A 27,332-nucleotide genomic window follows, 5' to 3' on the forward strand; every position below is an offset into this window, starting at 1 on the left:
ATTCACGACGTCGGTGTTTACTGCCTATTGCAAGCGAGTCGCTTGAGGAACTATCCGAGTGACACACAGCACAAGCAGCCTCAGGGGAGCCCCAGGTGTGCTCTCCACAGGCAGCACCGTGGATGAGAAGGATGGCCAGGGCTTAACAGGAACATGGACCCTCGCTTGTGCCTCATTCTCTTCTCTATCACAAAAATCACACGACAATTCAGATGGAGATGCATTCTGTGAAATGATGAAAATTTGAATCCTGTCTCCTATTTAAACTCACATATATTATTTTCCCTTCATAAAAATGTTTTTTCTAGTAAATAATTTGACATCCAAAGAGAGTTTATATTTCTTCAAGAATGTATGCTCAGAGAAATGAGCTCTTACTACACGTTGGGTATTGAAGACTTGATATTAAACACATGGTTTTTGTCAATGGGGAGGAGCAGTTTGACTCTCTCCAGTGTCCTTTGTGGATGGATGGACTCCACTGACAATGAGCTCCTATGTTAGAATTGCGGGTTTGGGATGTTTAATTATTATCTGAGCTGGTCCAGTGGTGATGCTGAGTGGGACGCTCATGCCCCTTTAAGACAGAAAGTCCGTTGGAACCGTCGGCTGCTCTCTGGTCTCTGGAGATGAGGCGGGAGGACTTGGGGACAGCTGTGGGGACACGGCCCAGATGTTCTGGTCCCAGCAGAAGTGACTGGCGGGGACCAGGTGAGGTGATGAGGTCTGGTAGTGGGGCTGAGGGAAGGGGTCTTCCCCAGACTGAGGGGGTCACAAGTTTGGGGCCGAGGACACTGGGGTATCCCCTCGGAGGAGCGGGAAAGAAGAAGCTTTCTCAGGGCTGTGAGGACCGCGGACCCTTGCCCACTTCCACAGAAACTGTCCCAATCCCCGCGGGGAAGGAACAGCCAGGGATCCGGTTACTGGTAGGTCTTGCTCTTGACCTTCGATTTGCCTTCATCAGGAGACTCTCTTTTAAACAGCATTTCTCCAATCACTGTGGTTAAACTGTTCATTCTCAGGTTTGTATACAGTGAGAAGTTTATGAATAAACAGCTGGGGTTTCGTTGGGGGCCATTCGCTTCCTAAAACCGAGAGGGTGAGGCAGGGTTGGGAGCGGCTTTCAGAGAGGACCCTGCAGGCTTGCAGGAAGCTTTGCGTTTTCTCTTTTGTTTTAGTTTTCTGATTGCTGTGAGCTTCCTAGAACTGGCATAAATGCTGTACCTATAAAAAGGTGTTTCCTTTCCACGTCTTCACCATGAATTCACAAATGTCATCCCGATGGTTCAAGACTCAGACTCAACACGACTCAACACAGTGTGGGGTCTGCCTGTGCACCTCCAAGTGGGTGTTGATCCAGTGTTGCTGATTAAAGGGCTAAGAGTTCCCTCAGGGCCGCACGCGACCATCCACACACATCCCACTCACACCCCGAGACCATCCTGCTCACATCTGCTCACACCCATTCACATTCCCCTCACACCTGCTCACACCCCACTCACACCGGCTCACACCCCGCTCACACCCTTCTCTGGATGACCAGAGTGCATTCGGTGTCAGGCTGATCTTCTAGGATCTAAAGCATTTTCCACGGAGGATGATGGAGAGCCAGGTGTGGACCGCTCAGTCCCTCCGTCTGTGGATGGTGACAGTGTGTTAGGTGTCAGGCTGATCTTCTAGGAACTGAAGTGTTTTCCATGGAGGATGGTGGAGAGCCAGGTGTGGACCGCTCAGTCCCTCCGTCTGTGGATGGTGACAGTGTGTTAGGTGTCAGGCTGATCTTCTAGGAACTGAAGTGTTTTCCATGGAGGATGGTGGAGAGCCTGGTGTGGACCGCTCAGTCCCTCCATCTGTGGATGGTGACAGTGTGTTAGGTGTCAGGCTGATCTTCTAGGAGCTGAAGTGTTTTCTTGGAGGATGGTGGAGAGCCAGGTGTGGACCTCTCAGTCCCTCCCTCTGTGGTGTCCTTTCACCTGGTCAGCTTCGGGCTTGGGAATGTGTACAGGACCCCGGGGGAGAAGAGAGGCTGTGGTTTCTGCTCGCCCTTAGGTTGAGGCTGGGGCCTTCAGCCCACACTGACGGGGTAGGGGGCTGCATTCAGGCATTGCCATAGCTCTTCCCTTCCCAACCAGGATGCTGGAGGGTCAGCTCGAGGCCAGGGAGCCCAAGGAGGGCACCCACCCAGAGGACCCGTGCCCGGGAGCTGGGGCTGCCATGGAGAAGACACCTGCAGCAGCCGAGGTCCCCAGGGAGGACAGCAATGCCGGGGAGATGCCGGTGAGCTGATCTCTGTGGGGATAGAGTTAGTCCCACCAGGCGGGACCCTGATTCCTGTCCCTGAGGCCTGTCATTGGACTTCCCTCGCCAGACCCCTGTAGGAATGCGCCACCCTGGGACGCTGATGCTAAACTTCCTCTCAGAGGGGCACGTGGCTCTTTTCCCCTCTGCAACCTTCTCTCTTTGTTGATGGGAGGCAGGACACAGAGTTAAAGAAAATATTAACATTCCAGCTTTTCTCTTCTAATCCAGGAGAAGGCACCAGACTTTAAAAACTTCATTAAAGAAAATCAGGTTGACATGCCTCACATCATCCCAGCAACCACCTTCCTCACTGGACCCTGTTGGACAGTGCTTGCTCTCATGAAAGTGCCATGGGTCTCTGTGGCCAGGGCCACACAGTGCAGGGCTGTACCTTTATCACGATCCCGCTTATTCTCAGAGCAAGGCTGGAGGCTCTACGGTCCAATGAAGGATGCCACGGGAAGGCTAACATGTCAGGTTGAAAATGCAGTGGCTTCCATAATTTTTAAACTGTTGACCATACATCCATGCCAGCACAGTGTTTGAGATCAGCCTAGCCAACATGGCAAAACCCCGTCTCTACTAAAAATACAAAAATTAGCCAGGTGTGGTGGCGTGCACCTGTAATCACAGCTACTCAGGAGGCTGAGGCACCAGAATTGCTTGAACCTGGGAAGTGGAGGTTGCAGTGAGCCGAGATTGTGCCACTGCACTCCAATCTGAGCAACAGAGCTTGACCCTGCCTCCAAAAAACAAAAACAAAAACAAAAACAAAAAAAAAGAAAAAGAAAACAAGGAAGGGAAAAAGAATGCCAGCCTCTTATTGCTGTAGTGTTTTAACAAAGAATCATAATTCACTGACCATCTTTATCTGGTTATATTATATGGACTAACTCATAATAAACACTACTTAATAAGAATAAAGCTGTGGCCAGGCATGGTAGCTTATACCTGTAATCCCAGCACTTTGGGAGGCCGAGGCAGGTGAATCACTTGAGCCCAGGAGTTTGAGACCAGTCTGGTGAAACCCCATCTCTACTAAAAATACCAAAATTAGCCAAGTGTGGTGGCACGCACCTGTAGTCCCAGCTACATCAGAAGCTGAGGCAGGAGGATCACCTGAGCTCATGAAGTTGAAGCTTCAGTGAAGTGAGATCATGCCACTTCACTCCAGCCTGGATGACAGAGTGAGACTCTGCCAAAAAAAAAAATAAAAATAAATAAAAATTAAAAAAGAAAGAAAGAAAGAAAGAAAGAAAGAAAGAAAGAAAGAAAGAAAGAAAGAAAGAAAAAGGCTGCGGTAGTCCTGTTTATCTCATCGGGTGTCCTTTTGTCCAGAAAGAGTGTTGGTCTCACTTCAGAGGGGGCTTGAGTATTTTGCAGATGAATGTGCCGGTTGGGCGTCTGAGAGGTTTCCTGGTGTTCTCTTCCCAATGACAGTCATTACAGCAGCAGATCACCAGCCTCCACCAAGAGCTCGGGAGACAGCAGTCGCTGTGGGCTGATATTCACAGAAAACTCCAGAGTCATATGGATGCCTTGAGGAAGCAGAACCGGGAGCTCCGAGAAGAGCTGAGAGGCCTGCAGCGGCAGCAGTGGGAAGCCGGGAAGAAACCCGCAGCGTCCCCACACGCGGGGCGAGAATCACACACTCTGGTACCAAAGGCGCATTTGTGTTTTTGTATCATTTGCGTCGTGTAAAAATAGCGTCCCCGTAAAGATGTGGGCTTTGTCGCTGGGTGACGTGGTATCTCTCACGTTCCAGGTGGTGGGAGGGCTTGCTATCTTTCCATCAGCTCCATTTCCCACAAGTAAAGATTAAAGAACTGGATACATCAGGCATCTCACCTGACGCTCCAGCAGACAGAAGCACAGCCGCCTCCAGGCTGCGCGTCTCACGTCTAGAATTCTAAGACATCCCATGATGTCTCAGGACAACAGCAGCAAACCCTTACTGTGGACTTTACATGGGCTAGGTAGGGAGCTTTACCATCTTACTGTCTACGACGACCCTATGAAATGGATCCTATAACTAACTCCATCATGGCCACGGGTTGGAGAATGCGGAGCTGGGATTTGAACCCAGGGTGACTCCAGAGTCAGCTCAGTGGCCCGGTGTCCTTCTGTTCATCTTCTAGGACAGCTGTGTAGAATGCGATAGAGACCTGTTGAAACGGGAAAAGTTCCCTTGTCCCCCTCCCAGGGTGTGCGAAGGGGATGTGGCTCGCTTGCTCATTGTCCCACAGCTCAAACCTCTAGGGGAGCGTAGAGACGGGCAGCTGTGCAGCTCCAACCCCACGGCAGTGTCTAGGGGTGAATGTTTACAGCTGAAGCCCCAGTGGGCGTGTGTTACAGGGCGTTCTTTCAGTTTAGCTCTCTGTAGGCAGCTTGTGTTTAGCAGCTCAGTTAGACCCTCTGCACATCACTAGGACGGAGGGCTTTCTGTATCCTGGGTTCCTGCCTCGGTGTACCTGAAAAATCAGATCACATGTGGGCTTGGAGGATGGGTGCAAGGTTTTTTATTGGGTGATGGTAGCTCTCAGCAGACAGGGGAGCCAGAACCGAGATGGAGTGGGAAGGTGGTTTTCACCTGGAGTTGGGCAGCCCAGCCGCCGGGCTCTCCTCTGACTGCCCTGATCAATCTCCCTGTCATTCTGACAGTCAATGGCTTGCTGATGTCTGCCAGTGTGTTCCTCTCGATGCCAGCCACTTGTGTCTCTGCCCACTAGGGTCTCGGGGTCTTCACAGGCACAAGATGGGAGTGTGGCAGGCCAGGGTGGTCTTGGAAATGCTACATTTGGGCACGACAGCAGAAATGCCTAGGTCCCTGGGCACAGGCCCGGGGGTGGAGCCCTAGCCAGGGACCTGCCCTTCTCTACCCAGGACTTTCCTGCGCCCGTCCCATATCACCGCCCTGCTCTATCCCAAAGGAAGAACCAGCATTCTCATGCTGAAATAGTCGGTGCCTCCCAGCACCCACCTGCCTTTATAGAACACTGAGCTTTCGAGTTTGATCACACGGCTCAAAGACCGAGCCTAAGAGAGTGTGAATGTGGCCAGTGTTATCACTGCCTTGTCTGGGTTCTGTCTCCCGCACATGGGTGTAAACAACTTGAATCATTAAAATTATATGTACAGGTCAGGACACGCGGAACCACGTGAACACCCTCCAAATGTAAGTGGGGATATTTCTCAGTGGGTTAAGAAAAGTACCAACATTTCCTATCTGCACTTATTGCGTGAACTTTTAAATCGGTACTTCCAGGACTTGGAATGTTTCCGATATGACACAGTGATTACAACACACACGTGTGCACACACACATGCACACACACACAGAGGCACCCACAGAATACATTCCAGAGGAGCCTGCTCTGTGGTCGGTTCTCCCAGCATGGCAAGAACAGCCACAAATTCCTCTACAAGAAATTACGGGAAATCTTGGAAGTCATTCCCAGTCTTCGGGAGCTCTGCGAGAGTTTTGTTTCCGTGGAGATGGCTTCTGCTGCCTCAGAAAGAAAGCGGGTTTATCCTCTCAGCACAGCAAAGTGCCCAGTCCTTCTGCCGAACGACGAGTGGAAGCCGGGCAGGCTGTTCCTCCGTCAGAGGTAGAGAGGGAGAAATTGCCACAAATACTGGCCGGGATTGTCCACCTTCTGTGAGGAGAACCCATAAGACCCACAGGGATTTTTCCCTGCATATACTGTATGCCAGTTCCTAAAAAATAGTATCTACTGCCCCATTTGGGTCATTGTATGTTGGTCGAAATGTTACCGTAACAGTAACCCCAAGAGCCAATGAAGTCTCGTCCAGTCTTCACACTCCCTACAGCTTCCATTGTTCTCTTATTTCGAGGTTAGAGCTTGGGGAATTTCCAAACTTTTTTTTTGATTCTGTGCATTGTACTGGTCACCATGGGGCTATTTATAGGAAGAGGATCTATGCTCACAAGAGCATACCTGATTTGAAGAAAGGACGGGATATGTGAATTCCACACTTCAAATTTGCGTAGGTGTATCTGTGTGTAGTCGCAGTTTTAGGGACTGAGCGTCTAAAAGGCTGAGGCATGAGCACCCTCGGAACGCGGGCACGGCTGTGTGGGTGAGCCACTCTGGATCTGGTATTAAGGGTTCGTTCATAGCAACCCTCTCCCCTTCTCACTCCCTCCTCCTCCTCAGAGGGGAGAGCGGGGAATAATTAAACATTCCAGACCTAACACACCTCCTCCCACCTGCAGGATCACGCTGTTCCAGGTCAGTCTGCTGATAACAGGGGAAGTTGGGAATTTGCATTTCGAATCTTAGACAAGTTGTAGAGACAACACTAGAAGGAGCATCACATTTTCCTCCTCCGTTGCCACATTCCCCGTTGAAGACACATGAGCCTGAAGGAAGATATGTTGGGTATTGATCATTCTGTAGCCTTTGGGATCCTGTGATCAATTTGAAACAAGGAACCACAATAAGAAACACAAAGCAAATACGGGCTCCACAAAGCTTCCTTCACAAACGTTGGGTGAGGGTTTCTGTTCTTATCAACATGTTAGGGGAAAAACCCAGGCCAAGTCCCCCCACCTCGTACCCTAATTTTTTCTAGGACATTCCAATTATTTTGGATTTTATTAAAATTTGAATTTATCTTACCTTTGAAAATGTGAACATTTTCCCCGCATTTTGTCTTTTAGGCATTGGAACCTGCTTTTGGAAAAATTTCACCTCTGTCAGCTGATGAAGAGACAACGCCCAAATACGCTGGCCGCAAGAGTCAGAGTGCGACTCTCCTGGGACAAAGATGGTCATCTAACCACTTAGCTCCTCCAAAGGTGACCCTTCGTGCTTATCGTCTGTAAAGAGCAGCAGAGCTTCTGTACCCAAACACACACATCCCATCAGCTCCTCACCACACAGTTTCACCTCCCTGGGTGAGCATGGTGCTCCCCGGAGTCCTGCGTTTTTCCAAGGACATGGGTGCATGCCTTTCAAACAAGATCCTAAACCACAGCACTTCCTGCTGTAGGGCAGATTCCAAGTCCTGCCAGCTGCTTCCCTCTGAGCTCACTCATGGCAGCAAATGTCTGGCTGGGGCTGAGTGGACTCGGGGGCTTTGTTTCCGTGGGTGCCACCCACGGAGGTGATACGCGTGGCGCTCTCGCCACATGCCATGGCCCGTGCGTCTGGGGGCTCGCAGCCTCCCACGATCCCTGCTTCTGCACTGCGGTCTTGCACCTGCTGCTTGTCAGCGTGGACTCCTCTGAACAGGGGCTGTGCCACTTGCTTGGGGGCCACGGTGCAGGATGCTATTTTGTCTCCAACACATTTTTCCTTGTTAAAATTAGCTCCTCTTTAGAACCTTCTGCTGGCCAGTGTGTCTCTTCCCATCCTAGCTTTGTGTCACCCTCACACTCGGGGGGCAAATCTCGTGAGTCCTCAGCCAGCAACTGATACTGGGTCGATGTGGATGGAGAAGACTGCCCCCCAACTCCTGAAGATGATTTATCCCCTCGCTTCTTTCCCAAAGCAACTGCTGAACAGATAACACTTTATTCCCTGAAGGAAGATCAGAAATCTACTCCAAGCATTTGTCACAAGTAGGAAAATAGTCCTTTCAGATCCTATGAGTACAAAACATTGAAAGTCCCAGGACGGACTGCATAGGTCCAGCCTCCTGTGAGACACGGACTTCTCTCACGCTTCTGCATTGACCTGAGTTAATCACACGCGTGCTGGGCAATGTACGAGTAAATAGATAACTGAATGGGTGGCTTATCCACGCCTCCAAACCCTGAATTTTTAAGCAGCAGAAAAGGTAGAACATTATTTTCATTATGCATTTTTGAATTGAGTTTCAAGTACTTTATTTCACTGTTGACTATTCTACAATGTCAGCCATACCGTCCCTGAATTCCTCAAGAGCGTGGCTGTAAAATGGGGAATGAGAGCGTGGATGCCTCATGTGTCCTTCTGTAGGAAGCGGGGGTAGAATCCTCTAGATTCTGTGGCAGCTGGTGTGATGTGTTGCTCAACATTTTAAAATAATATGATGGTTATTAATGCAACCACATTTATTTTCAGCCAATGAGTTTAAAGACAGAAAGAATTAACTCGGGGAAAACACCACCACAGGAAGATAGAGAGAAAAGTCCTCCCGGGAGACGTCAAGACAGAAGTCCAGCACCCACTGGAAGGCCGACTCCCGGTGCAGAAAGACGGGAGGTGTCTGAAGACGGAAAGGTGACCTCGGAAACCTGGGTCACTCTACACTGGCAGCATGGAAAATTCAGATTCAGATGAAGTTCCACTTAGGTCTCATAAGAGTACTCAATTTGTTATTCGAAATAGACCTAGTAATTTATTAACCTAATTATGTTTCTATAGATAAAACTTTGAATTTCTGCAGACATGTCTTTAATGCTATAAAAGCAAATAAATTGAATTGGGTTTTAAAAAGCAAACAACTTGAATTGGGTTTTAAAAATCAATTACTTGCCCGAGCTCCGTAATTGGTATATTTCTGCAGAGTCTTTAAAAGAATTGATCTACCTTGTAGTGCTGAGCTCAGGGCTGTTGGGTGAGCCCTGGGGTCTTGCTGGAAATTGTGGATGGCTGAAGATGGCTTCGTGCTCCCAGCCTTTGGGCTCGAGGCATTGCCGGCTGCAGGGACCTTATGACAAGGGAGGCCTCTGACTGTCTTTGCCCCAGATTATGCATCCATCTTCCCGAAGTCTGCAAAACTCCGGTGGCAGAAAATCACCAGTGCAGGCTTCCCAGGCCGCCACGCTGCAGGAGCAGACGGCAGCAGCCGGAGTTGCTGGTGAGCAGGGTAGGGGGCTCCTGTTTCCATGCTTCCTGTAAAGTGGGGGGCTTTCTTGTGGATACGCGTGAGCAGAACATCTTACTACGGCAAGGACATGTCCTTCATGGAGCTGCCTAATTTCTGACCACTTTTGTCCGATTCCCTGGTTGGGTCCTCACCTGGGAGTCTTGCCGACACCCCTAGCCCTCCACCCCACACACAGCCCACATGCCGGTCTCCAGGGGCCGTGGCTGGAGATTCCGAATCCTACCGGCCGCTTCCCCTGAGTACACTCCCAGCTGAAGGCGTCTGGCTGGGCCTGGGCGGACTCGGGGGCTTTGTTCCCTTTTCTCCGTTTGCCCGCCCATGGCGTTGCTGCCACGCTGATGGAGCGCCCTCTCATCGGGCACCTGCCCGGCCTCTTTCCTGAGCCCAGCTCTGTCCATGCAGATGTGGGTGCTTTCTGCATTGGGGGTCCCACCGGGAGGAGCCAACAGTACCCCTGGTAGAGTTGGGAAAGAACTCCTTCCTCACGTTACTGCCAGAAAATGACCATAGCAGCTTCACAAACCCCGCAGGAACCTGTCTTCCTAAAGAAATGGAGCCCATGAGGTGGCCGAGCCTCAGGTGTGGTCCTTATGCACAGCACAGCCCAAGCCTGTGGGCACAACTCGCCCTGGGCTGCCTGGCACCTGGACTCTTTCCCATCCTCGGCCCAGGCCTGTGTGGCCCTGTAGGGCCAAACCCGACACTGTCTTCCTCCTGGGTCCACTCCCCGGGCCTCCTGCACCCCAGACTGCTTCATGGCCTCTGCAGGGAGCTTCACAGAGGTGAGACTGGTGCCATCTGTCTGCTTCAGACCACCCCAGGCTCTGCGTACCCTCACAGTCCCCTCTGCGCTCCTCTACGGGGTGGGGAAGCCCTTCCCATCAGGTCAGCACCAGCCTGGCCACCTTGTTTCTGCTGCCCCCTCCTCTTCAGGCCCCCAGACCAGACTTTAGTTACTTGCTGCTGCCGGGCAGAACTGGAGGCCTTGTCTTGCACAACCTCCACAACCTCCAGGCATCATCTCAGCTGACAGTGATGCCATCCTGGGGACGACCCCCCGGATCCCGGGCTCTCCTGGAAGCCTGTGATGCTCCTTCACCACAGCCCCTGTCCCTTCATAGGTCCCATAAGCCAGTGGTGCAGGGATCCGGCCTTTCTCTCCTGTGTCTGCCTCCTGCAGAACCATGAGCAGCTTCAGGGCCGAGGCAGTGCCTTTCCATCCGTGAATCTCCTGATCCATCAGAATACTCGAGAGAGAGTGATGCCCAAGAAATACTGACTGAGTGTATTCATGAAAGAATTAATGTTCTTACAGGATCACTTGTTGTTGAACTGACCTGACATGTGTATAGTGATCTCATGAACAAGAGGGAAGCTGTGCATCCATTCACTTCAATTGGATTTAGCAATCGCAGTAGGATAATGATATTTCCACAATGTATATGCTCTGTCCCTTTAAATTTAACTTTTTGCTTTTTAGACAGAAGCTCATCAGTCTTAGGGAGTTCTGAAGGCGGATTTCTCAGCCGCGTTCAAGCTGAAGAGTTCGCCAGTTCTTCCCCAGACAGTGCAGAGCGGCAGGTAGGTGGCTGAGTGGCTTCTGTGAGGGCGGCCCACCCGGTTCCCCTCAGGGAGACCTGAGAAGGTGACCTTTTCGTCCTGGGGAAGTGAGATTCGGAGCCGGTGTCATGAGATGGTTGCATCTTCCCATCTTCTCAACAAGAACAGAAAATTAAGATGATTCCAAATGTCTCTTTATTTCCTGAAGTTCAGCCTTTCAAACAGAGACTTTTTTTTATAGATTTAAGTTGGTTGCATTTAGCCCAAACAAGATTAATGTTTTTTATGACTTAAGAGTTCCCCTAGTCAGAGTTTCATTTTTTATCATTTTGATTTACAGTTCTCAGTTGACATTAATAGACTCGAAGGCAAGAATAGCAAACATACTTCTAAGCCCTAGCTAGGGGCCCACTTGTAACATGCTATATTTTACAAAAAAAAAAAAGTCAATAAAATAAAATTATTTTCTCTACGCCAGGAAATTTGGGCTGTGAACTTACGTATGATGTAAAACTAGACACCTGGCGGGGAAGTCTCAGAACACAGGTCCCGCTTGTTTTCTGTTCTCCTGCGAAAAGCCCACATTCTGTTCTGCCCTCTCCGACGTCTTCAGTGGGGGGACGAGTGGGAATATTTTTCTTGGGATTTTATTTTGTTTGGGGATCCAGCTAATGAGTTCACCTGGAAGCCTCCGGGCTAATGATCTACATTGAGAAGCAGTGCAGCAGCCATGGCAGGTGGTGTCTCTGTGTGGTGTTTGTATCAGGTGTTAAATGTGGCAGTTGTCATTGTGGCCACCCTGACTCCAGACCAAACATACAAGTGGGAGATAAGCACTTTAATAAAACACAAAACATGGTCCAAAGTCCCGGTGCTGACTGTCCGGGGCTCAGCCGCGCCCACTGACTTAGAGGCAGAGGCTGCAAAATGCCAGGGCAAGGTGCATTTCTCCCGCCTCATACTGCAGTGTTCATGGAGACCATGGGAGATTAGGATTATGCTCTTTCTGCAGAATCTTCCTGTAAACCCACCATCTTCCCTGGAAATAGCACAGGCCATGGACACTAAGATGAAAAAGGAGGAAGTACAGGAAGAAAAACGACATCCAAATGGCAAGGCAGATGACTGCCGGCGGTCCGGTTTCCCGAGTGAATTTCCAGGAGCTCTGCATGCCGCTCCCTCCAGACAGGACATGGGGCCCTGACCTGGAGGCCAGGCGTTTCTAGCATTGTTGACTGCCAGTTTATTACCAGTAAATAAAGCAATACGCTTTTCAGGAGGAAGATTTGTTTTAAATACTTAAAAAAAAACCCAAAACTATAGCCTCAAATATCTTCCAGCCACCACATTTTAGCCCTTGAGGAGAGCTCAGTTCCGGAAGGACGCGTCAAGGTGGCGGTGGTCGGCATTGACTCAGGAAGGGGTGGGAAGAGGCACCTGCTGCGGCTGCGGCTGCGGCTACAGTGTTTTGTGAGCTCCGAGGAGACCCAGTCCTGCCTGGGGCAGCACATCATCGCTGCTTCTTCAGCTCAACAGTTCGTTCATCTCACGCCTCTTGCTGGCCTGTTAGAAACTGGGAGTCGGCCTCAGGCTAGCTTTGCTGAGGGAACTCTGCCTCAGTAAAAGCGAATTCATGTCTTGCAAGCGGATAAAGCATTTGGATAAATGAACAACAGGGAATGCTACTTGCAGTAACAGTTTGAATTCACTGAAATGCTTTTGTCTTTAGCGCAGTGGTTGTAGTGGTTTGTCAGGGGAGAAGGAAACCCACATCATTTGAGCACCTGACCTTGCCATCCCCATAGGCAGGTCCATGAGACATAAGTGATGCTCCTCCTTGGCTAAGTGCATGGAGAAACCAATCGCTGAAGCTCATGAAACCACGAAGATGAGGACACAAGAACTAGGTAACGCGCTGTGCCCTCTGCTAGCGCGATCCTTCCTTTCTCCCCACAACCAGCGGTCACCCACCTCTGCCTGCTCCTACGTCTCTGGCTCCCCCACCCTCCCTCCCAGGTCTTCAACACTTTCCTCTTCTCGTGACTCATCTTGCATCTACTTCTTGTGTGTCTTGCATTGGATATGCCAAAGTTCTTTCCTTTTTTGTGTTTTCTTTCTTTTAATAATATAAACTCCAAAATAGATTGTTTGATTCTTTTCATGTGGAACATTTAAAATATTATTTGTGCTTTATTACTTCTGAGAGTAATTGATTCTTTAAACGTTGCCGCAGTTTTTAGTGTTGGTTAAAAGTTCATCTTCAGATACGGAACTGAACACAGCCCTGCTTCATTCACCGAGTTGGTTTGGGAGCAGGTGGAGTCATCTTAGTTCAAACCCCATCAAACAGGAGGCTGTTGTCCCGGCCAGCAGGTGGCGCACACCGTCAAGGTTTGTTTGGTGGATGGTTGAAGACAGTTTAAGAAGCCCAGCATTCGCTTCTATTCCCTTTGTATTTTCTCAGCTGAATTAACACCTATATTTCTGAGCTATGGTTAAGAGGGACAGTGTGACATAAATAACAAAAACACATTTTGCCATTTGGAATTTTCACATGCACTTATCTTATCTCCCCAGATCTTGAGATTATTTCTCTCAGATATTTTCTTTTGCTAATCTTTACAGGAGTAATATTTTCAATGTGAAGACAAAGATATTCTTTCTACATTCCTTGTCCAGCATTATGCACATGAGGTTATATAATATTTGCTGATAGTTAATTAAAATCAACACATCTTCGGGATGGGCCGTAGGAGCGAAGAGGTAAGGAGATTGGGATGAAAAGGAAAGAAAAAGCTTCCAAGAGTAATTTTTACGTAGTAATTACCACAATTCCCATGGCCCAGTACTCTAAACTCACCAAGTCAGCGGCCGTGGAAGATCTAGACTGATGGCCACTGTGGGACACGAGCTTATGAAAGACGAATGTTGGTGGGACAGATCATAGCACTTATTCATTACTGATAACCACATTCGGGGATGGGAATTTGGACCTGATCTACTCAGTCAGTACAGTTTTGGGGGAAATATCACACCCAGTGTCGAGAATGCCATGTAGGTGATAATCATGTAACAATTCTGAATTGAAGAAAAAATAATGAAACCACAATAATCAGGCTTTACATCATTTTTCATCTTGGAGCTTTTGTGTTTCCATAAAGGTAGAACAGGCACTGAGCGAAGGTTGTGCCATCACCACCTTCCCCGAGGCCAGCCAGAAGGAGCCGAGCATGGATAAGAAGGCGACCATCATCCGGTTTTCTTTTATTTATTTATTTATTATAATTTAAGTTCTAGGGTACATGTGCACAATGTGCAGGTTTGTTGCATACGTATACATGTGCCATGTTGGTGCGCTGCTCCCATTAACTCGTCATTTACATTAGGTATATCTCCTAATGCTATCCTTCCCCCCTCCCCCCTCCCCACGACAGGCCCGGGTGTCTGATGTTCCCCTTCCTGTGTCCAAGTGTTCTCATTGTTCAATTCCCACCTCTGAGTGAGAACACATCATCCGGTTTTCTAATGGTGACGTGAAGAAGATCAAACCCGATCAGAGAGTGTTGTGTACAATGGATGTTTTTTTTTTATAAAAAAGATCTGTCTTTTTTTAAAAGAAATCACAACTAACTCAGTTATTAGGAACGATTTTGCACATCTGTACCCCCTTTCCTCTGGGTGTTCAGGATGGGTGGGGGGGGACGGGCAGAGCACAGGCTGTGGAGGCGGGCGAGGCTCTCTATGAGCCAGGCTGTTCCGCTTCCTTGGTGCGCTCAGGCAAGTGAGACCCTGTTGTCAAGACCCTCCGATCTGCGCGGTGACACAAGAATGCAGCAGCACCCCTCCTGGCTCTGAGTTCAGTCATTGTTTTCAGCTTTTCTAAGCCTCTGCAAAATGTGGCTGATAATTAGGACCTAAGTCAAAAGATGGTTATGAAAGTTAAGTAACATAGTCCATTAAATAATGTCTCTTCTGCAGAACTCTCTAGAAACACAGTGGTAAACACTTAGTACATGTGCATTGATTGTAGAACTAGCATTAGTATTGCAACAAAGTTAGGCAGAGTCAGGAGCTAATCCCTGGTACAAGCTGGAGGTGAGATCCAGGGAGACGGTTTTTACAGCCGGGAGGAGGCACTGTGTCCAGCAGCCACCTTGCAGGTGGAGCAGAAAGCACAGGCTTGGGGTTCACGGGCTCAGCTGACTGGCAGCTCTGCCAGACCAGCTGTGCCAACACCAGCCAACTAATTCATCTCATCAAGCCTCAATTTCTGCATTAAAAAAATCAGGAAATATTCCCAGGTCTGGTTCTCAACTGGGGGCAATTATTCCCCCTGCCTTGAGGACATTCACAATGTCTGGAGACATATTTGGTTGTCACAACTGGGGGTGGTGGGGGTGCTGCTGGCATCTAGATAGTGGGGCCCGGGGATGCTGGTAAACATCCCAATGCCAAGGACAGCCCCCCAACCCCACAGAGTTATCCTGCCCAAACTGACAATAGTTCTGAGGCTGGGAAAGCCCCATTAGGTTATTATAAGGACCAAAGTTATGCCATGCATATATTGCTTGGCACCCATCAAGTACTCAGCAGCTGACAGCTGCTGTTACCATGACGATCATCACTGGTAAAAGCCGATGATGTGTTTGTGGAAGAAAGCCACAGATCACAGTAGCTGGGGGCCCACTTGATGCTGAGGAGCTGTGAGGATGCTGTGACCCCCTGGTTCAAACTACATGTCTCTGTGTGTCTAGGGATCATGTATGGAAAACACAGATGCTGAGCAATCTGGAGGTCTTCTAGGCAAGGTCTCCAGGGTGGCAGTATTTTTGTCCAGATAATTCAGGGTATATAACTCGATTCTAACTTAAGAAAATTTGGATAATTTCCAAAACCGATTGTAAATAAGGTGAGATAAGGGAGGTCAGGGCAGGGTTTGTAGTGCATTGAGAATAGTCTCTTAGTACCCACACATTACCAAATTGTATTCTAAACATTTCCCTCTTTAGAATGATCAGTTTCCCTGTTGTTAGCCAAGCTTTGGGTACAAATGTAGAGGCACAGGGTCCAGGAGTTCTGAAAGACTGCAGAGCGCGCCTCTGTTTTTTGTGTTACTTGCTTTAATGAGAGGCGCCTGCTTGTGGCTCTGTGATTTTATCCCAGCGAAGCCTCTTGACCCTTCCTGAGGGTGGATGTTAGAAGCCCCGAGCGTGGACACAGGCGTGGTGTGCCCACCACGTGCTCTTCCACCGACCTGAACTAACTTGCATGCTCCCTTTTTTGCAGGGAAATGCAGACAAAGAGCTTGGATGACCCCCTTTAGACGGTGGCCTGTGTTACGCCACTGCCCAGTGGAGGAATCTGTGATACCGATCTCATAGCCTGCCCCAGCCTTTCATTGTGAGGTCTAGCTTTCCGTCACTTTGGAGTAGGAAATAGCCGTTTCTTAGCCAGATGTGGGGGTGTAGGGAGGCAGAGTGTGACAATATAAGAATTGATGCGGTGAGGATGAATCAGCGGGAGAGAACAGGGCCTGGCACAGGCCTTGGAAGGACATCCTCCTATTCTGACCTTCTGCGTGGTCAGAGGGAATGGCCACTGCAGGCCAGCGAGTGTGCACCTCCCCAGGTCTCCTGAGAGCCCCTCTGTTCCCCTCAGACCTCTCTGGTCTCCAAAGGGAACCCTGACCCCAGCGAGGAGCCTGAGCTTGGACTTGATGATTATTGGGATGATGCAGAATTGAGAATTTGTGGCTTTCTTCTGACATTTGGACAAATGTCCCCCATGTGAGAAAAATGCCTTTAAAATAATGGCACGGAAATAGTCCCTTCGACTTCAGTGTCATGGTTTTTCTAAATAAGTCACCTCTCCTATTCTCTCCTGCCTTCTCTCAGCCTTTGACGGGCAGCGATGCTGTTGCTATGATAGATGGCAGACATGCAGTGACACACCGGGGTCCCAGAGCTCAGGAGAGAGTGGATGCCTGTCCGTGGTCCCACTTCAAAACAAACATGTACATCCCACGGTTTTCTAGTTCTGGACCCTTAATTTTTTAATAATTCCCCCTTCCCTACTTATAGTCAAGGCTCGCTTGACCATAAGGAATGTCCCCTCCCCTCCCGGATGACTGTCCTCTTCCAAAGCAGCTCCTTCCCCTCTTCTTTTCCCCACTTTATTGGAAACCAGAGGGGGTCACAATGATGGGAAACTTCACAGTAATGTGACAATTCAAGAGGCACAACCCAGGGAGTGTTTCTGTTGTTTGGAGCTGCTGGGAGACCCTTGGTCTCTGAGCTGTGGGGTTTGGGTCTTAGGGCTCCTCACTCATATTCACTATGCTGGACCTGGACCTCCTGCAGGCCCCCAAGGCTGCCAGGCCCAGCAAACTCTAGTTCAGAGCCCACCAGGTGAAGGACCGGGAACTCCACCTCGGTCCAGTCCTCTCTCCCACGAGCCTAGAGCCACAGTGTCTTGACTTTTGGGCTTGGGTGACAAGCCCTCCCCCCATGCCCCCTTGCTGTGGAGGGTGCCCATGGACAAGGTCAGCCCACTCCCACCTGCTGGGATGGTGCTTTTACCCACCCGCAGGAAGGACTTTACTAGATTAAATCCAGGTTCAAAATGATAACATAGACTTCCTCCCAACGTAGGTGTTTCTGGAGCTTACAGATTTACTATCACGCAAATGCTCAGACAGTGTGCACGACCTAACCCTGACGGTTTGGAAGTTGTGCAGTTTCCTAACAAGCAGACAGGTGAGTAACGTCACCAGGAACCCGCGTGGGTAGGTGCCTTTGCATGTGAGTGTGTAGAGGTGTGGAGACTTGCAGGTTAGCAGATACCTGAGCCCTGTAGGCAAGTTCCCCATAGCAGCAGCTGTCCAGATAATTTGGGGCTTACCCTGCTTAATGTATGTTTTCCTGGTTCTTATCCAAGAGCTGTGAGCCTGTGGCTTCTGTGCGGGTGTGTAAGTGCACCCAGGTCTGGATGCCTCTGTAAACGCCGTCAGACCTTAGTCAGGGGCTTGTGTTTCAGCTTTTCTGGGTGAGCCTGGCTACATGGCTCGAGCAACAACTGAGATAAGTGGGTGTTACTTATTCGCACAGCCTAGTCAGCGCATTGTCCTAAAAGCCACCACATTCTTTCCTGAAGTCTCGCCTGGACTCTAAAATGCCATCCTCTGGGTAACCCCTGGGTCTCTTGGGAACTGGGCTGCACAGCAGGAGGTGAGCGGAGGACAAGCCAGGGAAACTTTATCTGTATTTACAGCCACTCCCCATGGATCCATTATACCTGAGCTCCGCCGCCTTCAGATCAGTGGCAGCATTTGATCCTCACAGGAGCGCAAACCCTACTGTGAACTGCGCACGCAAGGGATCTAGATGCGTGCTCCTTGTGAGAATCTAATGCCTGATGATCTGTCACTGCCTCCCTTCACCCCCAGATGGGACCCTCTAGTTGCAGGGAAAAAAGCTCAGGGCGGCCGGGCACAGTGGCTCACACCTGTAATCCCAGCAGTTTGGGAGGCCAAGGCAGGCCGATCACAAGGTGAGGAGTTTGAGACCAGCCTGGCCAACATAGTGAAACCCCATCTCTTCTAAAAATAAAATACAAAAAATTAGCCGGACGTAGTGGCAGGTGCCTGTAATCTTAGCTACTTGGGATGCTGAGGCAGGAGAATCACTTGAACCTGGGAGGTGGAGGTTGCAGTGAGCCGAGGTCACGCCATTGCTCAGGCCTCCTACTTGTTCTACGTTGTGGTGAGTTGTATAGTTATTTCATTACAATGTAATAATAATAGAAATAAAGTGCACAGTAAAGTTAGTGCAGTGGAATCATCCAATCTTCCCACAACCCACACCCATGCCAGTCTATGGAAAAATTGTCTTCCACAAAACTGGTCCCTAGTGCCAAAAAGGTTGGGGACCACTGCATTAGATAATGAGAGAACTGTTTTAAAAATATCCCAATTTGGGCTGGGTGCGGTGGCTTACGCCTGTAATCCCAGCACTTTCGTGGGCCAAGGTGGGCGGATCACCTGAGGTCAGGAGTTCGAGATCAGCCTGGCCAACATGGTGAAACTCTGTCTCTACTAAAAATACAAAAATTAGCCGGATGTGGTGGCGTGCACCTGTAATCCCAGCTACTCAGGAGGCTGAGGTTGGACAATCACTTGAACCTGGGAGGCAGAAGTTGCAGTGATCCCATATCATGCCACCGCACTCAGGCCTCAATGCAGAGTGAGACTCCATCTCAAAAAAAAAAAAAAAAAAAATTCCTACTTTGGTTATGAATTTGCTAATATTTATTTGTAGTTTTTCTCTTTCTTTTGAATTGGTTTCTTTTTAAAAATCCTTAACCAGTAATACATATTTTTATACCTTTAATGCTTTCTGCTTTAAGTCTATTAAATCTAATAGGTACAGCAGCTTTCTTTCAGTTAGTTAATATATGCCTGGTATATCTGTTTCTATTCTTTCTTTTGCTATTTCTAAATCTTTACCTTTAAATGTGATCTTATAAGAAACAGACATTAAGAAAAATATATAATCTGAAAATAACTTTCCTTTTAACCTGAGGTTTTATTGCATAAACTGAAAATGTATCAGTGTCCTTACTGTCCTCTACAACCAAATCAAGAGTCTTTTAGTCCGAATTCCCCTCCCCAATCTTTCACGCCATTGTGTTGGCTTCTGCCAGGATTTTTACTCTAACTTGATTTTCACCCTCAGTATTAGTTATGATTATTACCGTGGTGTTTATGTAACCAGTGTTTACTTTAAACTTTCTAAATTTATGCAGAATTTGGGGCTCTTCTTTCTTATATTTTGGGCCTTTCTTCTTGGCACAATTTCCTTCTACTTGACGAGCATGAGGAGACGGGGGCAATCAGCCCTTTTGGCTCATCTGAAAATGTCCTTTGTTTTGCCTTGTTCATGAGTGGTCGTTCGTCCTGATGCACCTTCTGACCCCTCATCCCATAGCTATTACATGGCCACCCTGTGGCAGGCATTGTTTTAGGGCTAGGGATCCAGCAGTGAGCAAATTTGTGAAAAGTTCTTATTTCATGACATTTTATTGGAGGGAAGCATAAAATAATCAGGTAAAAATAAATATCAATATAAAAATCAGTCTCTATGAAAAGCTACAGAGAAAAACAAGAGGGTAGAAAGCAGGGAGGGAGAGTGCTGGGCTGCTGCCCTAGGGGGCCATCTGTATGCCGTTGAGGAGGGCCTCACTGAGGGGGGATATTTTAGGGATCCATGAGTGATGTGAGAGAGGGAGCTGTGTGCGTGTCAGGAAGAACATTCTAGAGTGAGAAAGAGCCGTGAAAAGTGTGTGGTGTGTCTGAGGAAGAGCAAGGAGGCCGGTGTGGCAGGGGTACAGGAGATGAGGTCAAAGTGCCAGGACCAGGCAGTGTAGACCATTGTGGAGAAGCCATTGGATAGTATTGAGCAATGGAATGACAGTGATTTTTCTGAGCGTGTTGAGGACTTTATTCCACTCCCACACGGTGTCTGCTGGAGGATCTGATGGTGGACTAATTTCTTCCTTCGAACGTGATTTTTTTTTTTACTTGCTGCTTTTAAGGACTCTTCTGTCTCCAGTGACATTATGATATGTCTAGTTATGGATTTAATTTTGTTCATTGTATTGGGGATTTGTTTTGCTTTTTTTTTTTTTTTTGAGATGGAGTCTTGCTCTATCCTGGAGTGCAGTGGCATGACGTCGGCTCACTGCAACTTCCTCCTCCCTGGTTCAAGTGATTCTCCTTCCTCAGCCTCCCAAGTAGCTGGGATTACAGGTGTGTGCCACCATGCCTGGCTAATTTTTTGTATTTTCAGTAGAGACGGAGTTTCACCATATTAGCCAGGATGGCTCAGGTGATCCGTCTACCTTGGCCTCCCAAAGTGCTGGGATTACAGGTGTGAGCCACCGCGGCCAGCCTGTTGTGCATCTTAAATATAATCACTGTGTCTTTCAGAAGCTTAGGTTGCCAGATTTAGCAAATAAAAATGCAGGATGCCCAGTTGAATTTGAATTTCAGGTGAATAATAAATGATGTTTTTTTGTTATGAGTATGTACCATGCAGTATGTGGGACATACTTATACACTAAAAAGTCATTTGTAGTTTATGTGAAAATTCAGATTTAACTGGTGTCCTATATTTTATCTGGGAACACTATCAAGTTCAGGGAAATTCAGAACTATTATCTTTACCAATCTTACCTTTCCTCCATTCTTTCTCTTCCTGTACTTCCAATTATAGCTGCATTACACCACCTCATTCTAGCGTCTTTCCCTCTTCACATATTATATTTTCTTGTTATCATCTGGGTAAATTATTTTTCTGGTTTCTCAGTTTTCTCTTCAGCTGAATATTATGTGCTATTTAATATATCATTTAGCTTTAATTTTGAAGATTATATTGATTTCATTTGTTCTTTTTCAAATCCACCAAGAATTTTTTCTCTCTTTCATTTTTAATTTCCTACTTTAATTTTTTAAATATTCTACAAACATTTGCCTTGTCATCAGTTTCTGGTAGCACCACGCTTGCCGTCTCGGAGCTCCGCGTGACACTGGCTGCTGCTAGCTTGTCTCTGCTTCCAATACTTCTGGCATTTCCTCATGGTGTTGCGCTTCCTCACCTATTTTATATTTGTGCTGGCAGCCTGTGTTGGTGGCGATCCTATGGGGCCCAGTCTGGGAGATAGTATCCAGAAAGCTTTGTGTTTGCTTCTGCCAGGTGTCCCAGGGCACGACCAGCCTGGGATCACTTCATGTTAGCTTCTTAGTTTAAGGTGTCCCAGGTACAGGTAGCAGAACTGCAATTGCTAAGGGTAAATGAGGGTCACCCTGTAGTAACACATTCTTTGGAAAGAGCTCAGAGAGAGACAGCAACACTCCTTGGTGCTCTCCATCTGCCGGCAGGGAGGTATTTTCTAGTTCCCTCTTTCTTTGGGCCTCTAACCCTCAGAGAGTGTCCTCTTTAAGTTCCCAGACAAAGCCCTTCATCCTATCCCAGCAGAGTGACTAAGGACCAAACCTCCTGGAGACTGCAGAGGTCACCAAGGCAGCCGCAGGTCAGGTTCGAGTCTGCATTCCAGCACCCTCTGGGATTTGTAGCCCCTTCCATGAACTTGGGTGCTCATTTCCCAGGGATTTTGTGATTTGCTTGAGCATTCCTCGGTATTTGTAGTGGATGTGTGGCTGGGATGTCTGATCTGCCCCATTGCAAGGGCAGAATCAAGGCCGCTGTGGGGTATCTGCTCCTCCGTGACACAACGGACCTCCAGATGGGCCCTTGAAGCTGCTGAGACACACTGTCCTGTGAATTCCTGGCTCCCACCCTTTTTCTTTTTGTCCTAATATTTCAGCCAGTGCAGCTGTGTGTCTTGTTAGAATTTTTGCCTTCACAAGCTGTCATTTAGGCTCTGACTGGGCACATAGCAGCAAAGTGGGCACTAGAGCATTTGTTTTCTTGAGTGACCTCCAGCAAACATTCGACAAAGAAAAATTACACTTGCTAGTTTGCAAAGGCCATGCTGAGCGATTGATTAATATTAACGCCAGTCTTCTGAAAAAGAAAAGTATTTATAGGTCTGTATTTTATTTTTGTTTAAAAGACCTAAAACTTTGACTCTCAGCTGGTCCATGTAGAAGGTCTCTGATCAGTTAATTTTCCAGCAGGAATTCTAAGTTCTGTTACTGTTCTTGGATATATTTATCAGACGTTCAACAGTTCTGCCTACGGCTGATATTTCAAGAACAGAGTGAAACAGAAGTCCCATTGTTTCCCACTCCTTCCATTTTACAGGTGCAATTGTGTGTCTCATGCATGGTTCTTATACATTCATACAAATCAGCCAAGAGTCAGGCATTGATATGTACCAGGCAGGGAGTGAATTCAGTTGCTCTCAGCTGTTGACCCAAAGAAGAGCCCCCAGTTTCTGCAGGGTGTTCCATTAATATACAACCGGAAAACAATCTTTTACCATTTTGTGCTAAAAATTATTTTAAGGGGTAGAATTTTTCCTCAGTTGTCAGATTCTTCACTGTATTCATTTTGCTTAAATACAGTTTGTGGGCTGGGCATGGTGCTCACACTAGTTATCCTGGTGCTTTGGGAGGCCACAGCGGGAGGGTCTCTTGAGGCCAGGAGTTAGAGACCACCTGGGAAACATACTGGTGCTTTGGGAGGCCACAGCGGGAGGGTCTCTTGAGGCCAGGAGTTAGAGACCACCTGGGAAACATACTGGTGCTTTGGGAGGCCACAGCGGGAGGGTCTCTTGAGGCCAGGAGTTAGAGACCACCTGGGAAACATACCAAGACCCTATTCCTTCAAAAAATAAAATATTAGCTGGGCATCGTGGCATGCTCTTATAGTCCTAGCTAGGGAGGCTGAGGCAGGAGGATCACTTGAGCTCTGAGTCTGAGGCTGCAGTGAGCCATGATCACACCATTGCACTCCAGCCTGGGTGACAGAGCGAGGCCTTGTCTCTAAATATACACACATACACACACACACACACAAAGAAGCAAATGGATGTTAAAAGAACAAATGGAGGCCATGTGTGGTGGCTCATGCTTGTAATCCCAGCACTTTGGGAGGCTGAGGTGGGCAAATCACTTGAGGTCAGGAGTTCGAGACCAGCTTGGCCAACATGGTGAAACCCTGTCTCTACTAAAAATACAAAAATTAGCCAGGTGTGGTGGTGCGTGCCTGTAATCCCAGCTATCCAGAAGCTGAGGCAGGAAAATCGCTTGAAACTGGGAGGTGGAGGTTGCAGTGAGCTGAGATCACACCACTGCACTCCGGCCTGGGTGACACAGGGAGACTCCGTCTCAATGAAAAAAAGAAGAAATGGAAACTCATCAATTAAGTTTAATTTGGCAGCTTTTCTTTTTTTCAGAAACACATCAAGCAGCTGTGAATGCACCCCACATGCAGGCACTGTAATCACCTTCCTGTTCCTGTAATGAAATAGAAGCAGTGCAGCAGTATTTCAGCAGGCTCCACAGCGAGTTCCTCAGTGTCCAAGGGTTCTGTCTCCAGTACAAGGTGAAAATCACTGTTATTCATCCCTGGAGGATACCATAGAGGGTGAATTATGGCTCTTTCCTACAATTTATTATTCAGCTGAAAACTGCAAATCAATATGAAAATGTCAAGTTGAATGTTTACCATAGCAAGAGTCAAAAGCATTCAGAAGCAGAGGGCACCGACTGTGGGGTTCATAATGGAGATTGGACTTCAAGCATAGGGACTCAGGGAGTCAGACAGCGTATGGGTGGGAAAGGAAACTTTCAGCCAGGGAGATCACTTGAGCAAAGTTGGGAGAATCTAAATTTTGTGCTTTAATGAGACCGAGATCATTCTGCCCAGAGCAAGATATTCAAGTGTAAATAAAAAAATGATAAGAGCAGGTACAAAAATGCATGTTGAATACCGGTTCTTTATGGAGTGTGCCTTATCCTGTTCAGGCTGCCACAGCAAAGTGCCATAGACTGGCTGGCTTGTCAACAACGGTGTTGGGGCTGGAAGTCCATAACGAAGGTGCCGGCAGCTTCACTGTCTGGTGAGGGCTGCTGCCTGGTTCACAGACGGCATCTTCTCATTGCAGCCTCACATGGTGGAACGGGCGAGACAGCTCTCTGGGGTCCCTTTAGTAAATGTGCTGATCCCATTCACGGGGCCCCACCCTCATGACCACGCCACAGCCCAAAGGCCTCATCTCCCAACACCATTGCTTTGGGGATTAGGTTTCAACATACGAATTTGGGGAGGACACAGCATTCAGCCCATAGTGGAGCAGATCACCACAAAGTAGGTTTAAGCAGCTAAGTGACACAAGCGTCCTGGTTTGGAAATATAAATTTACTGAATTTGCCATGATAGGTGTGTATGTTGTTTACAACCGGGTTGAAACAGTGAAACACAGCAAATGTGCTCTCAGATGTTCACACAGTTTTTCTTCTTGAGTATTTTCATACAGTATTGAAGTCCTTAAACTTTTATTATAAGTAGGATTGCCAGATTTAACAAATAAAGATTCAAGTCCCTCACTGAATTTGAAATATCAGATAAACAGCAGTAATTTTTGGTATAAAAGTATGTTCCATGCAATATTTAAAATATACTTATGTTAAAAATTATTCATCATTTGGCTTGGTGCAGTGGCTCATGCCTGTAATCCCAGCCTCTGGGAGGCCGAGGCAGGTGGATCACCTGAGGTCAGGAGTCTGAGAGCAGCCTGGCCAACATGGTGAAACCCTGTCTCTACTAAAAATGCAAAAATTAGCCATGCCTGGTGACGCATGCCTATAATCCCAGCTACTCAGGAGGCTGAGGCAGGAGAATTGCTTGAACTTGGGGGGCAGAGGTTGCAGTGAGCCAAGATCATGCCACTGCACTCCAGCCTGGGCAACAGAGTGAGACTCTGTCTCAAAAAATAATATAAATAAATAAATTATTCATCATTTATCTAAAATTCAAACTTCACTGGCCATTTTGTATTATACCTGGCAATCCTAGTTATAAAGCCAGATGATTAGAAAATACTCTCTATAAATCTCATGAATATTTTATAGATTATTTGCATAGAACATGTTTCTAAACAGATTCAATGTAACATACACTGAAAAACTGCATTCTGCAGAAAAATTCTACCCCAATGGCTCCAAAGAAATCGTGTTTCCCAATGGGACAGTGAAACATTTCAAGGATGGACAGGAAGAGACCTTATTTCCTGATGGGACAATCGTAAGGGTGGAAAGGTCAGTAAAGTCAGACAATGCGAATTTGAAACATCCCCAGTTTTTGTTTATTTAATAATTTCTTTATATTAATTTAAGTTTTTGCAAACATTTAAGTGCTTGTATTAAAAAAAAAGAAAATAATGTCATTGACTCTAGAAGTTTTGTCTTATGGCCTTGATTTGAATCCCTTTACAGAGACCATGGGTTTCAAATGGACTTTTAGGTATTTACTTCACTGACGTTAGGTTCGTTTGAATTATAACCGTAAAAATCACTCCAGTCTTCAGTGCTCACCTCAGACCACGTAGTCTAGAAGCCCGAGTCTATTGCAGAACATGTGCAAGCAAATGTTTAAGGCACACCAAGGAAGAGCTCATCAGAGCTGCTATTTCAATGCTAGTTTGTGCAGAAAGTAAAGATCCACTCAGCTGCCCGAGGGAGAGTGTGGGAAGTTGTTTTACACCTTCCCTGTCTTTCCTGATATCAAAGTGAACACAGATTGCTGTGGGCTGTGTCTCCTCGCTGCCCCGCCTCCGCCCTTTCTCTGAGGTCTGAGGTCTCCCGCTCTCACCATTTCTCCCCTGGGCAATTACAATAGACTCCCCCAGCTTCCTCACAGCAGTCAGAACCTTCCCTGTCACCTCCGGGGCCACTTTTCTGAAATGATTCAATGTGTGTCTCTGTCACTCCCTGTGTCAACCCTGCCATCCCTCTCACCATCAGAGCCAGCTGTCAGCACAGGCTTCAGCCTGCAGGTGAGCAGATGCGGCTGACCTCCCGCCCTGCCTCCTGGCCCTCCCCACCTGCCCTCTCTCACCCACACCGAGTTTCTGCCGATTCCCTGAGCCCCCCGTGCACCTTTCCTGCCCCTGCCCGTGGCCTTCTGCACCCTCATCTAACGAGATTTGGAAGGAGGGCTCCAGACCCGGGTGGGGGCATTATTCTGTGCTCCCCCAACCCCCACTGGCCTCCACCCTGGCACAGGCCGCCTTACCATGTGTTTCTCCTCTCAGGAACGGCGACAAAACCATTGTGCTCAGCAACGGGCAGAAAGAAATCCACACAGCCCGGTTCAAGAGGAGGGAGTACCCGGATGGCACCGTCAAGACTGTGTATTGCAGCGGCTGTCAGGAAACCAAGTATGCCTCCGGGAGGGTTAAGATCAAAGATGAAGCTGGAAATGTCGTCCTGGACGAGAAGCAGATGAGCCCTCAACACGCAGCATCACATGGGAAATGCCAATTGCAGATTTTTGCTAAAACAGACAAAAACTAATAACATATTAGCTGCCCTAAATGATCTTGGAGAGCCACCAAAACTTTAGGACTACCCAAGTCATCTAGAAATTGCAAAGGAAAAGACATTCTCTCCCCTATTTAGGAAACTTGGTTAGAGCAGCACACGTCAGAGAACAGAAGGCTCACAAAAGAACGATTTCTTGTCTTCTGCTAGCTTTTGAATATTTTGCTCTTGCTTCTCTAGTTCTTTTAATTGTGATGTTAGGGTGTCAATTTTAGATCCTTCCTGCTTTCTGATGTGGGCATTTAGTATTATAAATTTTTCTCATAACACTGCTTTAGCTGTGTCCCATATATTCTGGTACATTGTCTCTTTGTTCTCATTTGTTTCAAAGAACTTTGTTATTTCTGCCTTAATTTCATTATTTACCCAGTAGTCATTTAGGACCACGTTGTTCAATTTCCATGTAGTTGTGAGGTTTTGAGTGAGTTTCTTAATCCTGAGTTCTAATTTGATTGCACTGTGGTTTGAGAGGTTGTTTGCTATGATTTCAGTTCTTTTGCATTTGCTAAAAAGTGTTTTACTTCCAATTATGCAGTCGATTTTAGAATAAATACTATGTGGTGCT

At 47.7% G+C, this 27,332-nt stretch overlaps 1 long non-coding RNA gene and 1 pseudogene across 11 annotated transcripts, besides 1 other annotated feature; one reads left to right on the plus strand and one right to left on the minus strand.

Moving 5' to 3' along the window:
- The first annotated feature begins 607 nt into the window (after positions 1 to 607).
- Positions 608 to 26,740, plus strand: TCP10L2 (t-complex 10 like 2 (pseudogene); annotated as a pseudogene). Of its 10 annotated transcripts, XR_007059869.1 has the most exons (11): positions 608 to 711; positions 2,133 to 2,277; positions 3,742 to 3,957; positions 6,986 to 7,123; positions 8,373 to 8,531; positions 9,000 to 9,111; positions 10,622 to 10,722; positions 11,714 to 12,608; positions 12,935 to 13,092; positions 13,327 to 13,464; positions 23,620 to 23,696. The product of XR_007059869.1 is annotated as a t-complex 10 like 2 (pseudogene), transcript variant X2 (transcript). The 10 variants fall into 10 exon arrangements; XR_007059868.1 differs by having other exon boundaries at positions 12,935 to 13,464; XR_007059871.1 differs by lacking the exon at positions 12,935 to 13,092.
- Positions 1,669 to 2,169: an enhancer, noted in NCBI's record as "H3K27ac-H3K4me1 hESC enhancer chr6:167585168-167585668 (GRCh37/hg19 assembly coordinates)". NCBI's record gives its function as "activates a minimal SCP1, AML or CMV promoter by ChIP-STARR-seq in primed H9 embryonic stem cells {active_cell/tissue: H9 hESC(primed)}" and the evidence as "EXISTENCE:reporter gene assay evidence [ECO:0000049][PMID:30033119]".
- Positions 23,572 to 26,894, minus strand: LOC124901462 (uncharacterized). Its single transcript, XR_007059877.1, has 2 exons — positions 26,460 to 26,894; positions 23,572 to 23,791 (listed from the first exon to the last, which is right to left on the minus strand). It is a non-coding gene; the product is annotated as an uncharacterized LOC124901462 (long non-coding RNA).
- Positions 26,895 to 27,332: the final 438 nt, after the last annotated feature.

Source organism: Homo sapiens, chromosome 6 (assembly GCF_000001405.40).
Source record: "Homo sapiens chromosome 6, GRCh38.p14 Primary Assembly".
Taxonomy (NCBI): Eukaryota; Metazoa; Chordata; class Mammalia; order Primates; family Hominidae; genus Homo; species Homo sapiens.